Here is a 16,315-nt window from a genome sequence, read left to right on the forward strand (position 1 = left end):
AGGCAGAGGGTGGGCTCGTGGCTGGGTGTACTATCTTCAGCCTGACATTGCTTGCTCATGACCTGGTAGATAGCCAAAGAGCACATGTCCCCTAGTTTCTTTCTCTTTATGGAGAATCTGCTTATATTTTAAGACTCAGAACAAGCGACACTTTCTTTAGACAGTTTTCCTGATTCTTAACCCATAGCACCTCTATTAGATACTTGCAGTTGTCCTTGTCATGTCATTAGTTCTGTTTTTAGTAAATGAAAGTAATAGAATGTTAAGCTCAATGGGAGGTGGTTTCCTTTTCAGTTTGTATGCTCTTTGCATCTAACACTGTTGTCAATACCATGAGTATAACAGGGTTGTTTTGAGAATCAACTAAGATAATGTGTACAAATACAATTTTTAAAGTAAAGATTGATAAAAGGACAAGTTCTTTCTACATTAGTGCTGCACTCATGGGAATTTATATGTAAGTTTGGAGCCTTTTAGGTATCATGAGAGAAATGGGGAGTTTAAACATAGTCAAATACGTAATACTCAGCTGTCTATCAATATGTGTAGTTAAGAATTGCTGTTCAGATGAGAACACGTGGACATATGCTGGGGAACAGCACACACTAGGGCCTGTCATGGGAAGCGGTGCAGGGAGGGAGAGCATCTGGAAGAATAGATAATGGATGCTGGGCTTACAAGGTGATGGGTTGATCTGTGCAGCAAACCACCAAGGAAGGTGTTTACCTATGTAACAAACCTGCATATCCTGCACATGCACCCCTGAACTTAAAAGTTGAACAGCAACAACAAAAAGAATTGTTCAAACAAGAGCATATAAATAAAGAAATTGGGACAAACATTTCATGAAACCAGTTAACTCATCCAGACATTTTAGATTATGAAACATACATGTTTAATTGCTTTTTGCTACTAACAGAAATAAGAAGTAACCTAAGAATCAGGACAGAGCTGTTCCAGTTCTCACATCAATAAGCTTCGTGCCCATTGGTGAGATATTTCACCTCTCTGTGCCTCAGTTTCCTTGTCTATAAGCTGATCTGTTTTTCTGAGTATGCCTAAGGGTCTTTATTAGGTTTAAAACACAAGGATTTTCTTATTCTAATGCAAAGAGCATTCTTGTTCGTTTAACCTGCATGTGTTTTCAAAAAGGAGCAAAATCTTTTCTTTATTGAAGTCCAAGGGTGGGCACCCTGCAATTTAAAATCATTCTCCTTGTAACACAATCTTCTGACAGGCCGACAGTGACTTCTGCTGAGAGGGTCTGCTAGTGATGTCTATTTACCTTGCAGATTCCTGAACCTGCATGTATTGTGAGAAAGTGGCATCTGACTTCCTTCCTCGCGCCCTCTTCTGCAGATGAATAAGCCATTCGCTGGCCAGCTGTGTGTGGTTTTCTCCCTTGTAATCAGTCAATGCCTGTCTTTTGAGTCGTGACATGTTTCCACAGTCTTTGGAGCTGAGGATTTTGTGATGTGTTAATGCTTCGTTTGGGCTTCACTGGACTGAATTAGGTTACTGAAGGTGTTTGAATTAAGAGAAAAATGCATTAATTTGATCATTTAATGTTATGAAAAAGGAAATAAGAAAGCTTCTTTTAAAAAATACAGGAATGTCTTATTAGATTTAATTACAATGCTCATGAAACTTTTACAGATGTTGACATTGAAGTCCCAAGTCCTTTCTGAATACTGTCATATTTTTACAATTATTTGCTTAAATAATTGCTGCATTTACCTGATATTTATCTTAAAAAATTTTGAAAACTACTGCCAAATTGTGCACCAAAAGTTAGAACTGCTTTCACAAACAGTGTATGTACTTATACCTTGCCAACACTGAATATTATTAATCTTTGAACTTCTAGCATTCTATTAGGTAAAAAAATAATGTTTCATTTTAAAGGTACTCTATTGATAGCAAATACTGTTCAGTGATTTGTTTCATATACCTGTTACCCACTTTTACTTATTTTGTTTAAATTGCTTTTGCTTATAACTTTTGCCCATTTTTCCATTGGGCTGATACAACAAATGCACCTTTGCTGTGCATTTAAGTATCTGGAACTATCATGAGTACATCATTGAAAAAGCCATAAGAATATTTTCTCGTGGAGATTACATTCTAGGGGAAAAAGAAAAATAAAGCAATCAGTAATATGTACAGCAATGCACCAGTAATGACATTTTGGGAAACAGTGGGCCACCCATATATGATTGTGGTCCCACAATCATAATAAGATTATAATATGGTACTTTTACTGTACTTTCTCTATGTTTAGATACACAAATACTTACCACTGTCTTACAGTTGCCTACAGTATTCAGTACAGTATCATGCTGTTCAGGTTTGTAGCCTAGAAGCAATAGGCTATTCGATATACCATAGGTGTATAGTAGGTTATGCCATCTATGTTTGTGGAAACACACTATAATGTTTGTACAATGACAAAATCGCCTAACAACACATTTCTCGGAACATATCCCTGTGGTAAAGTGTCACATGACTATATTGAGATAAAAGCATGGGGAATGACCAGGATTTACTTAGAGGTTGCTTTAAGCTAACTGATCAGGAAAGGCTTTTCAAAGGAGGTGATATTTCTTTCATGATATGACTGATAAGATCACCCAGTAGCAGAGCATCTTTTCAGGTGATGGAAATAGCATGCATGAGTTTGGGGTATTCCCCCAACAGAAAAAGATAAAAGCCTCCTGGGATGAACCTTCCAATTTCTCCAACTTCATCTCTTCTCACTTTCCCTCCCTCACCTTCTCCAGTCTTATGGAGAAGCCCATGCACAGCCTGGTAGTCCAGGGAAAGGAGTTTCCATTTTATTCCAAACATGTTGGAATGCAAGTGTAGCTTTCTGTAAAGGAGTGACAAAATCAGATTTACACTTTAACAGATTACTCTGGTTGCTAGGTGTGAAATCAATCACTGAGAACAAGAATGGATGCCGGGAGGCCAATCAGGAGCCTACGGCACTTGTCTAGGGAAGAGCTGATATTTACTTGGTGTAGAGGATACTATGCTTTGCCCACCCAGATTTCCTTTACCTGCTGTATGTGCCAGTCTCCTAGCTACCATGAAAGTAGGCTTCTATCGGCCAGGCACAGTGACTCATGCCTGTAATCCCAGCACTTTGGGAGGCTGAGGCAGGTTGATCATCTGAGGTCAGGAGTTCAAGACCAGCCTGGCCAATGTGGTGAAACCCTGTCTCTACTAAAAATACAAAAATTAGCCAGGTGTGGTGGCACATACCTGTAGTCCCAGCTGCTCAGGAGGCTGAGACAGGAGAATTACTTGAACCCAAGAGGCGGAGGTTGCAGTGAGCCAAGATCGTGCCACTGCACTCCAGCCTGGGCGACCAAGAGTGAGACTCCGGCTCAAAAGAAAAAAAGAAAGTAGGCTTCTATCAGTCCCAGTTGCCAGCTTCCTGGGAGGCAGTACCTGGTCTTCCTTCTTGTGGACCTTAGCCAATGATTGACTGACAAGGGGATCCCTTGCCTGGAGGTGGGGTTAACTCTCTGGTGTAATGTGCTCTAGCACTTTATTGTGTTGTCAGCCTGAAGCTATTCTTTAGCTTAAATGATGTTTCTGCTTAGCTCTTTCCTACTGTTCTTCCCTGCTTCTCTTTGCCTTCTCTTCCTCAATAAATTACTTGAACAATAATCTTCATATTAGGCTCTGTTTTTAAATAACCTGACCTAAGACACAGTTTAGAGTGGCAGAGGCTGAAACAGAGGAGAGAGAAAGGATTAAGAATGTTCTAGAGATAAGGGCTACAGGAATGGTCCTGGAATGTGAGAAAAAGACAGAAATAAAAGTAGTTCTCAAATTTTGTTATTGCACAACTTGGTGGGTAATGGCATCATGTACTAATAGATGTCTGGAAGAAGTAGATTTGCAAGGTAGAGAAGGAAATAATTTTATTTCAAATATGTTAAAGTGTCTATAAATGGATACCATCAGGTAGGTAAATAAACCAATCTTTTGATCCCAAGGGCAGTTCAGTCTGAAGATCTATATTTGGGATTCAACAGGGATTCAAATATCATTTGAATGCATGTGACAGAGTGGGAGTACCTATGGTGAGAGTATAGATGAAAAAGACAAAATTTCTCAGGATTGAGTCCTGGTATGACAATTGGAGCAGAGAAAGAAAATCCAACAAACATACTGAGGAGTGACCAGTGAAGTGAGGAAAACAGGAGAAGGTTGTATCACAGAAATAAAGAGAATAAAATGTTTCCAGGAGGGTATGGCCAACTGTTGAATGCAACTGGGTGGTTGATGAAGACAACAGATCACAAGATATGGAAACAGGGAGATTATTGCTGATCTTGACAAAAGAAGATTTTGATAAGAGAAGATTATGAGGTAATGGGTATGCCTATGTCCAAACTCATCAAGACGTATACATTAAATGTGTACAGTTTTTGTATATCAATTAGAAGTCAACTAAGACAAAGAGAAAAAAATGCTAAAAAGGAAAGAATAGAAGAAGCAAATACATTGACCTAGGCAACTATTGTTGCTATAAACAGGAGCAATGAATGAGTAACTCAAGAGGGACAATGAGGTCAGGGGTATTTTTCTTTTTGATTGACACTGATAGGAAGGAGAAATTGATTATCCAAGAGAGGGAACAACTGTAGGAGAAACTCCTTGAATAGACAAAAAGTGATGGGATCTAGTGTCCGTGAGCAGGAGTTGGCTCTAACCTAAAGTAGACACACTTCAAATTTACAACAGAAAGATTGATAGATAATATAAATGCCAGTGAAGAAATGTTTATAGATGTTGTAGTGGGAGGCAAAGCTAGTTTTTGGTAGACTGTTTCTATGTTCTTATTGAAATATGAAATGACAACCAAGCCAAAATGGGGAGTGGGAATGGTTTTGGTAGTTTGGAAATTTGAAGAGAGAAGAGTAAGGATGAAATGATTAATGAAATATTTAATATTTAATCATTAATGAAATAATTTATTCCTTCTGTAAGAAAATTTACTTACAGGGGTGATGTAGTATAATTTCCTTGTGCTATTGAATATCATTTTTGGTACATGTGCTGATGAATTTTAAATAAAACCATTCAGCAAGGTTGTGTCTTTTTTAGCCATATTTAGGTGCTCAGGTGTAGACATGGAATAGGTAGATGGTTGGGTTTAACTAGCATTAATGTCAGGAAAACATAAGAGAGTTAAGGAATTTGCAAGAAGCAATTAAGAGGTAGACTATGAAATCTAAGCTGGGCTAAGAAGGAAACAAGAGGGAGGATGGAAGGAAAAAATAGGAAGGTTAATGGATTTGAAATTTTGATGAGGTTGAAAAAGTGCTGCAGTAGAGGTAGTAGAATATATGAGTTTGTATGATAAGATGAGGTAGCAGAGATGGATGTTTGACATCCACATTCAGAGGTATTAGAAACATCTGTGATAACATGGTCAAAAGTGTGACCCTGGACATGTGTGGGTTACAGGAAACATCAGTGGAAGGGGAGAGTTTGAGAAATCGTGAGGGCATGGTATCAGATGTATCATCCACATACAAGTGAAAATCCTCAAACTTCGGGAGAGGAATAGAGACACAGAGGCTCATAAAATGGGGGCTAAAATCATCAGTGGAATAGAGAGACAGGGAACTTGTAAAGTGTAATATTTATCTCATTGATTTCTATGAGTTTTCAGTTTTTTGAAGTGTATTTTATTACAAGAATGCTATAAAACAAAAATCAAAATATAAGACACAAACCTCTCATAATCCCATCACTTTGTCAGAGGATGGTGGATTTTGACAAAGCCCTATAGCTGTTTCTGGTCTGCTGATCTCTGGCCTGGCCAGGTGTTCCATTTATTTTGCTTGCTCATTCTTCGTGGAAACGTTGCAGGACTTTATGTTACCAAGAGTGTCTGTCTCTTAACCTGGCAGCCAGCTGATGCAAGTCCTCAAATAAACAGAGCTTCTCTTCATGCTCCTTTGACCTCCCTAGTCCAATGCACTGATCTCTCCTACGTGGTTAAAATCTGGGACAAGAACTATTAATAATGGTTGTAAAATAGGGCAGCAATCCTTCATTTTATAAAACATGTCTCATTATAGGTTCCCTAGCTCAGATCGTCTCTCGTTATTTCCACAGAGTTGATTGTCTGGTTACATTTGATTACTCTCTTTAATCCATCCAGATCTTCCGTCAGTCTCAGCCATATTTACAAATTATTTGGCAAGTCCGTTCTCTCCATTCCTGTGACTAACAAGTTGTTATTCCATTGTGTAAGTAGTGTTATTGCCACAGTTGTCTTGAACATCTGCTGATTGTTTCTGGACAGGGAATTATGGGGAGAGCGGAATGGACGCTTTCAAAGAGCTGGCTGCCCAGGAAGGCCTCTGTATCGCCCATTCTGACAAAATCTACAGCAACGCTGGGGAGAAGAGCTTTGACCGACTCTTGCGCAAACTCCGAGAGAGGCTTCCCAAGGCTAGAGTGGTGGTCTGCTTCTGTGAAGGCATGACAGTGCGAGGACTCCTGAGCGCCATGCGGCGCCTTGGCGTCGTGGGCGAGTTCTCACTCATTGGAAGGTAAGTTTCTCTCTCTCTCTCTCTCTCTCTCTCTCTCTCTCTCTCACACACACACATGCACACACACACTTTGAAACACATATGCTTGCTTTCACAAAACTAGACTTGCTAACTCCAAAGTGGGAGAGATGTGCAGTGCTGAGCTGAACATTAGTTCTGGATCTCACTGTTAATGTGAATATTGGCATCTTCCTGCTAAACAACAGCAGAACAAGGCTCAGGAGGGAGGATTGGTTAAGCCCAGGAGTTTGAGGTTACAGTGAGCTATGATTGGTGCCACTGCATTCTAGTCTTGGTGACAGAGTGAGACCTTAACTATAAAAAAAAAAAAAAAAAAAGGAAAGAAAGAAAAACAAGAGCAGAGCAGCATATAACAAGATACTGATACTTTTTCAGAAAAAAAAAAAAGATGGAAAGCTGTTTGGCAGAATATGTCTTGATCTGGAGAATTATTCGTTTCACTTGCTTTCTCCACACCCAAGCCGATGCTTATGTCTTCCTACCTCCTAAACATGAACATCTTATTGAGATATCAGTGGATAAAGGACAGCAGTGAAAATGGAAAATATGTATTAAGATTTGAAATTTACAGAGTTGGCTAAAGACAAGTGAAGATATGCAACGGAACTGTGGAATTTTATAATATATCATCTTGTCACATTTATGAGATAGCTAATTTTGATGCTTTCTGCATGTGATTTCTGGAATTGCTGGTGGTGGCTCCCAAAATTTCTGTTCTCTTTCTAAATCACGTGTACTTGTTTGGCAATAGATGGTCATCATCACTGGATTTTTCATAGGGCTTTTGACCTAACAGATATCTTGTTTAATTTGCCAGCTTCTAATATTGCATAAATAACCTGCTCAGTTTTCCCCAGGAACCTACTGAGTTTACCTGATCTTTACTGATCTTCAACCCTATCACACTCATCTTCCGAAGCTCTTTGTCTCTTCCCATCTCTTCTTCTGGGTACACTACAATCATATCACACCCATTAAAGAGCCTCAACCACTGATCTTCTGCTCTGGAAGCTAGGTAGTACTGGTGTGGACATGCTCACTGGACCTTTCCCTTTTGTCCTTGTGTTTATAATAATGACTGCAATTCTAGGAACACTAACTTTGCCATCACCTGAAATTAGAGGTATAAGACACTTGAGGGACTTTTTAAAAGAAAATAGGATAGAAATACAAATAAATGAATAAAGAAACAGAGATACTCTCCAAGCATGAGGAGGTGTGGAGCCAAGGTCAAATTGTAATTCATGATTAAGATAATTATTAAATGTGGGCAAAATTGGCACACTGGCACACAGAGTCAACTTGGCGTCTTCAACATGGTGCAGTTTTTGGAAGCCAATAAAATGTTCATAAGAAAGCAGGTCTTCTAAGGAGTATTTAAATAAGAAATGTTATTTCTTTTAGGAGTGAAAAGAAGGTAAGCAGTATTGTTGAAGTGTTACACAGAGTAATATATGCACCAGGACAGAGGGTGTCCAGACATTCAGGCCTTTCCATTGCTCTGTAACATGACTGCTTTTAGGAAGGTTGCTTGTTTTTAAAAAATTCTCATATTTATAATTTACAAAACAACAGTAGTCTGTTTTGCAGAATTTATTCCTTTTATAATATCCTCAAAAAAGGGTTCTGGAGATATTGAAAAGATGTGGCAAACCTGTGAGCTTCGGGGCATATAGACTACCTAATTATGAAACATAATTACACAAAATTGTGCGGTGTGTAATTGGAGTGTGAAAAATGTATCCTGTCACCATTGTGAGCTGGACAAGAATGATAATGGCAACTTAAGTCTTTCTAGCTCTTTTATTTTACCTCCTAATAATGCAATTGAACTCATACAAGTATTTCTGAGAGTCGCACATGTGTTTGTTTATGTGCTTGTCTATGAACAGGTCAGCTACATGTGATGTCTACCTCTTTTATTCCTCTTACCTGCCCCACCTCTACTGGATTCCACATATCCGAGGGAGCTATTGTCTCAATGAACACCTGAGCTTCTGAGGACACTGCTTTCTGTGCTAATAGTTACGGTCACTGATGCATGGAATCATTGAGATGACAAAGCTATACCATACTCTTTGCCAAGTGAAGGAAAGTGTCTCTCTGTTCTTCTGGGCTACTTTCCACGAGTGTCTATCAAAATGGTGTTGGCGTTTAATCTCGAATCTTAGAGAATTTTAATGAAAGCAGCCTTTAAAATTTTTTGGCTCACAATTTTCTCTCCCTTCCATGACATTCAGATATGAGTTCATAAGGAGCTGAGCTGGGGACAGAGCCAAGTAGTGAGACGATGCCATCCTTAGAAGTAGCCTTCCCTTCAGGTGGCTGATTCCCTCTCTTTATCGGGGATGGATTCTATCCTAAATGCTGCTCTGTCACTCATGTCAATGGACATGTGGGCTTGGTTCCCTCATGTCAGCAGACATGTCCAGAATAGCTACAGTTTAACCTCAAGCTACAACTTCTAGCTACATTAGTAATGCTGTCAAATATATCTCCCTCCCTTTCTAAGGGATTTTATCTACCAAATGTTGAAGTTTTTTGAGATCAGAAGCCATTGTTTGGTTTCTTTCGTAACACACGGTATGATTCTGGCTACTGCCAGAGTCACAAGAAGGGCATTGTGTAGGTGGTCATGAACTTCTTTTCATATAGTAAATCATGGTGTAGATAGCAGCAGGAGAGATTTGGTTAAAAAAAAATTAGGACTTTTTAAATGAAGACCTACATGCCCTCGTCTCCATGTCTGTTACTTTCTCTCACACTTCACATGCAATGTGTCTGGAACTCGTCTTGACACTACCATCAAAACATATTCAGATGTGGACAACTTGTCACCACTTCCTCTGCTATCATCCTGGTCCAAGCCACGATCATTTTCCCTTGGCTTATTGTGATAACCTCAGAATCGGACCTCTTGGCCATCTAGTCTTAACATAGAAGGCAAAGTGATCTTCTAAGAAATTAAGTCAAGTAGTGTCACTCATCACCTCACATGCCTAATGCCTTAAAATGACCCCCTATTTATTTCATAACAAAGTCATTACAAAGGCCTTCAAAGCTCCATATTTGACCACTTGGAATGAGCTGCTGAGAATGGAATAATGAACTATACTGATAGAAAAATGGACTTTTAAAAAAGGAAGTTCTCATAGAGAATAAAAATATTATATATTGAAAAAATGTGGTGGTAATGAAAAAACAAAACAAAACAAAACAAAACGTGGACTAAGAGTTCTAGCTATGCCATGAAGCAATTATATGATCTTATTTACTTAGTAGCTTTTTGTCTTGGAGCCTATTTTTTTCTATTAAAATAAAATATTTGGCTCCACATCATCTTTAAACATTTTTCCAGTCCTAGAATTTATAATATATTAAGACAATATGACTAATCTAAGATCAGTAGGGATGTATTTATAGACTTATCTAATATTATTCATTAATTTGGGCTGATCAATTTCTTCACCAGCCACTTCGTTAAAACCAGAATTCATAGAATAAGCTGGTCAGTATTAGGATAAATCTGTTGTTATGAAATATAGCCAGCAGACCCAGGGGAGAATCAAACCTTTGACTTTGAATAAATTGGCATAGTATTCTTACCAAGCAAATTAACTAATCACAATCAAGTTAATCATTGTGCAAAAGAATCATTTCTTCTTGTCTCTATGAAAGCTTTATTTAAGATGCTTCTCAGAATTATGCTCACTATAATAATAATTGTAATAATGATTGTGATGCTGATGATGTACCTGCGTCTGATAATACCTGTTTAGGACTTACTATATATAAGCACTGTTCTAAGAACTTTGCACATAACTCATTTAATTGTCACAACAATGTGATAAGATAGGTACTAATATTATTCCCCTTTCAATGTACGGAGTACAGTAACTTGTCAAAAAGTGCTGCAGTGCCAGTGCTGGGATTTGAAGTTAGGGACTGCAACATCAGAATCTGTGCTGTTAATTAGTAAGTTTGTGGGGTAATGGAAAAACAAAACAAAACATGAGATAAGAGTTCTAGATTTACCATGATTGTTTTGTTTAAGAGATATTGGCATTAATCTTAGTTTCCTTTTAACTTGCTCTCTCTTTCAGAGATTTATTTCACGGTTTAGAGTCACCTTCTTTGGGAAAATCAGCTAAAGTATCTCCCATGAGAAAATTATTTTACATTTCTAGTTATTCTTTATTTCTTTGCATTCTTTTATTTCATGCTTAGTTTTAAATATTTCCTATGATAATTCATTAACGGATAACTCATTTAACCTCTTTTCCAGCTCATTTCTTTATCTTAACATGGGACTTTACAATGTCATTCTCTTTGCACACCAGGCTTTATCTATAGAACTATATTTATGTAGAAGTCAACTTGGAATGAGTGCTATTTCTCTAAAATTCTAAGTTATAATTATTAAAATTCTAATAGTTAACTGATGGATCTGTTCTAATTCTTAAATTTTTTTTTATCTGAAGAAAGTAAAACTGAGAATAATTTATGTGTATGAGCACAAAAAATAGCTACCATTTATTGAGGGTTTGGTAGGTACTAGGCTATTAATATATGTTGTCTCTAGTTCCAAAAACAGCCCTGAAAGGTTGACTTGAAAAGCAGAGAAGTTCAATAATTACTCCAAATTCCTAAGTTTAATAAGTGGTGGAGTCAATATTCAAACTTACTACTGAACCATATTATCATATACATATATAGGTATTGAATTGTAACCTCCTCAACTGTAGGAACCAAGTTTTATACAGTTGTTTATTTTCCTTCATGCCTAGCACAGTGTTTTGGTATGATAACTTTTTAATAACTACATCAAAAAGCTTGATAGCTAGTAGAGAGAGCATGTAGCCTCATTATGTGACCCCTGATTTCCCTTTGATAGTCTAGAATCAGTAAATTTTACCTAGTTTGGTAAGGGTTGATGCTCTTCAATCAGCCTGTATCTGAACAATTCATCTGTAAAATTGGAACAACAACCCATTTAGGTTGTCTTATTTGTCTAATCACAAAATGCCTGCTTGCCTGGTGAGTCATCACTGGGTCTCACTAGTAGGTCCCTTGGCGGTACCTTAGCTCCACTAAAGACACACTATTCTTTCAGGGTGAGTGAGAGCCTCCTGACTTTAGTCCTTTGCCTAGTGTTGGCATTATCCTGAGCCTCCACCCTGGTTTCCTCATCTTGGAAAGCCTTTACTGTAAGTTCACATTCTGCCTTGTTAGGAGTCTTTGACTAGACATACTAGGTGTACCATATTTATTTATATATTTGCTAGCCCTTTTTACTGGATTCTGACTACATCTTTTTTTTTTTACAGTTCTTGCATTTCAATTGCTTGTCCCTTACTACTGTGTGCTGTTTTATCTATTGCTTCTCGCAACTCTGTGATCTTCTCACTCATTAGGCCAACTTTCTATCACTCCTCACTGCAGAGAAACACCACCCCCAGCCCTTTAGCTAAAACTTGATCCAAGAAAATTTTATTCTCCTGCTTTTTTAGTTGAAACACAACAAACACATCAAACACACGTGTAAAAAATGGTTGAAATGGAGCAATTGCTTTATTTGGAAAGAAGACTACAGTTTCATTTAAAAGCAAATGAAATACTTGGTTTTTACTGTGTACCTTTTGGGGTCTTTTTCTTTCAGAACACACATTTGGGAAAGTGACCTCTATATCCTTGAAACATAAGATTATATACCACGGTGTTATGTTTCATATACTTTTTAAAAATAAAATATGAGTTATTTTAGTTTCATGTTTCCACTATGGAAAAAAAATGGGGAAAACTCTAAAGTTTGCAGCATTCAGGAAAAATTGCAAAGATTTTATTTTAAAGAGAATGTGGACTTTCATTGAAGTGTGACATCTCCAAAAATGGATTATAATCAGAAGGCCAGCAAGGCAGATAAGCATTTTCTGATGCATAATGGTCATGACTTACAGATATATGACTTGGCCTTTTCTCAGCTCCCAAGGGCAGGAAATTATTACAAACCTGCAGACAGGCTATACTTTTCTTAAAACACTACTGCTCTACAGACAGATTAATGAGAGCTTTGTGGAAAATTACACTGCTAGAAAAAGACTGAGAAATGTTGCTTGGGAAGGAGAAGGAATTTTGTTTAGAATACTCTGGAGAATAAATATTATTTGTAAGATATCAACAGGTATCGTGTGTATAGATCTCTGATACAGAATTGGTCAGGATTTCCATAACAACTGAGGAGGTTGATTTACCTTAAAGTTGGTAATTATAAACCCTTCCTATATTCTAACACCTATAGTCTCATGTTTCAGATACCGGACATCTGAAACGTGAAAGATTCCACTTTCATGGTCTTTACCTGCCTTTAGGGTATTAAAACATTGAGGAAAAGGATTTCTGGTGCTGTCTGCGTCTGTATGGCACTACCCAATTTGAATAGACGGAAAAGGATGTCATTATGATTCAGCTCATTTTGTCTTTGATGCTGATCAGAGACAATATGGAATTTATCTTAACATGTTCTTGTAGCACTTGTGGCAGTTCCTACCTGGGTTTAAATCACAATCAGCAGACACACTTAAAAATAGATTCCCTGATCTCACCTTAGACCATCAATACAATTTCTTGGTCAGGACTTTGGATCTTATTTCTTTTTTTATTTTCCCCGTCTGATGAATTAGCTTTCAGAATCACTACCTTATGATGCCTAGATCAGGGATTTGCACTCATGTGGCATTCACTATGAATTAACTGCTTATGGGGCATATTTGAAAGGGAAGACAAAGTGAAAGGTTAACTCTATTGTCCATTATTCTACCATTTCAGCTCTGTTTTTTTCTTTCTTGAAATTTACTTGCCTTCAAGGTTTTTGTCTTAAACTACAGATACATTTGAGATTAGTAAATAGTAGTCGGAGTAGTAAAAAACAATTTGCAGTTCTCTTTATTTCCTGTGTTGGTGTCTTCTCCTGCTGCCCAAATTGGCCTACTGACCTGCCCTCTGAAAACACAGTCATGTTCCAGTTTTCTGACTAATCAAATTGCAAAGTAGGAGCATTTAAACATAACTCAAGGTTATGAGTCTAGAGTTGCCTGGGGCCTACCAATGAAGTTTCTCTTGCTAATTACCAGAATGGGGTCTGATGACTGAATTGTTCCTTAAGTTAGACTCTCTCCATAACCACTTATCTGTCTACATCATAAAACTGGGGAGGTTTTAAAAACTTTAGGTTTTGGGCTCCACCTTCTTCAGATTCCAGTTTAATATGCTGGGGAAGGGACTTAGTAATTTATATGTGCTCTTCAAATTAGCTTTACTAAATTCACCAATTTTATGTGTTTATTTGATGGATTTTGATAACTCTACGCAGTGACATAAGCACCAAAGCAATCATGATGTAGAATGCTTGCACAATGTTTCTTAGTACCGCCTTGCAGTCTCTCCTCTGCAACCCCTGGAAACAGGCAACCACGGCATTACACTTTGGCTTTTTCTAGAATTTCACATAGAAGGAATCATACAGAATGTAGTCTCTTGTGTCTGATTTCTTTCAATTGACAAAATACTTTTGAGATTCCTTCATGCTGTTGGGCATATTACTAATTTCCTCTTTATTGTTGAGTAGGATTCCATGGCATAGATATATCTCAACTTGCTTATCCATTTACCTATTGATAGACATTTGGATTGTTTCTAATTTGTAACTATTTTGAATAGTCCTGCTGTGAACATTCTTGTACAAGTCTTTGTGTGGACATGTATTTTCAATTCTCTTTAGGAACTATCTAGGGGTGAGATTATGGGTCATAAGTGTGTGTTTAACCTTGTCAATTACTGTATAAGAAATTGACTATTTTCCAAAGTGGCCATATAATTTTGCAGTTCCACCAGCAATGTATGAGAGTTCTAATTCCTCCACATCTTCACCAAAATAGTATTGTCAGTCTTTTGACTTTTAGCTATTCCAGTGGGTGTATCGTGGCATCTCTTTGTGGTTTTAATTTGCATTTTCCTAATGACTAATAATGTTGAGCATTTTTATGTACTTATCTGACATTTTAGTATCTTTTTTGGTGAAATATCCTTCACATCTATGTCCATTTGGATTTTCAGGTTGTTTATCTTCTCATTATGGAGTCGTAAAAGTTATTTATAATTTCTGGACACAAGTGATTTATCGTATATGTGTATAATAAATATTTTCTCTCAATATGTGTCTGAAATTTGTATTCTGCTGAGTGTCTTTGGAAGATGAAACATTTTGAATTTTAACAGTGTAGTTATCAATTTCTTCTTTTATGGTTTATATTCTTTGTGTTCTATCAAAAATATTTTACCTCCTCCAAGGTCACAAACATTTTTCTAAAAGTTTTATATTTTTTGCCCTCATATTAGATATATGACTCATTTGGGCCTAATTTTTGTATATGTTGTGACATAAGGGTGAATGTTCTTTTTATGTAAGAATATCCCAGTCGTTTGAGAACATTTTACTAGAAGAAATATTATTTCTTCACTAAATTAACTTGACATTTTGTTAAAAATAATGTAATATATGTGTGTGTGTATTCTTATCTTAGATTAATTGAATTTTTAGCATTCAATTTTATCTCTATTTTTGGCTTACTAGCTATGACAATTATTTTATGAATAGTTGATCTAGGGTTTAAAATATACTTCTTTACGTTGTTATTGCCCATGTCCCAAGAATATTATACTGCATCACATATGATATAAGAAGTTTATGATAGTAAATTTCTATTTCTCCCTGACTTTTGATTCTATTGTTATTATGTATTTTATTTCTATATCTATTCTTAAACTCAAAATACATTGTTATTTTTGCTTAAATAGTGAATTATCTTTCAAGAAATAAAAAATGAGAAAAATTAGCTTCTATATTTACCCGTATAAAAACTATTTATGACCTTCTTCATTCCTTTGTATTAATCCATATTTTCATTTGGATTATTTTTTTTCTGCCTAAAGAATTTCGTTTAACATCACTTGTGGGACTTATCTACTGAGACACATTTTCTTCTACTTTTTGTTTTGCCTGCAAATGTTTTAATTTTGTCTTAATGAAAGAAAAATGCCTAGTATAGAATTCTAGGTTGATAGTTGACTTTTATGGTCAATACTCTAGAGATATTACTTAATTATACTTTGACTTGCATGGTTTCTGATGAGAAATCTGCTGTACTTCTTTTTACCTTTGTTTCTCTAATATGTATTATCACTGAATGCTCTTAAGCATGTTTCCTTATCACTAGTATTGAGTCATTTTATTATGATAAGCCTTGATGTAGTTTTTAAATATTTATGGGACTTGGGGCTTATTGAACGTTTTAGATTAAGTGTGATCAAATTTGGAAAAATGGCCATTATTTCTTCAAATATTATTTCTGCCTTTGTTGTTATATTCTTTCTAGCTGAGATTCCATTTATATGTGTTTGACTTCTTGACATTTTTACATAGAAATTTTATCTATTTATTTATTTTCCACTTTTTTCTTTTACATTTTCAACAGTTTCTATTGCTATAACTTTGAGTACACTGATCTTTTGTTTTGCAACATCTAATCTGCCGTTAATCCCATCATGTAATTTTAAAATTTCAGATATTGTATTTTTCATCTCTAAAAGTTATACCTGAGTATTTTGTTTACTTTCTATTTCTTTTCTTAACATGGTCATTCTTCTGGGATATATAA

At 36.5% G+C, this 16,315-nt stretch overlaps 1 protein-coding gene across 7 annotated transcripts in view; it reads left to right on the plus strand.

Annotated features, from left to right (window-relative positions):
• GRM1 (glutamate metabotropic receptor 1) overlaps positions 1 to 16,315 on the plus strand; it is a 409,895-nt gene that overhangs the window by 125,310 nt on the left and 268,270 nt on the right. For all 7 annotated transcript variants that reach the window (NM_001278065.2, XM_017010784.2, XM_011535782.2 and 4 more), the window contains one exon: positions 6,332 to 6,581. In NM_001278065.2, the coding sequence (NP_001264994.1) occupies positions 6,332 to 6,581 (250 nt within the window). The remainder of the gene's footprint in view (positions 1 to 6,331; positions 6,582 to 16,315) is intronic.

Source organism: Homo sapiens, chromosome 6 (assembly GCF_000001405.40).
Source record: "Homo sapiens chromosome 6, GRCh38.p14 Primary Assembly".
Classification (NCBI taxonomy): Eukaryota; Metazoa; Chordata; class Mammalia; order Primates; family Hominidae; genus Homo; species Homo sapiens.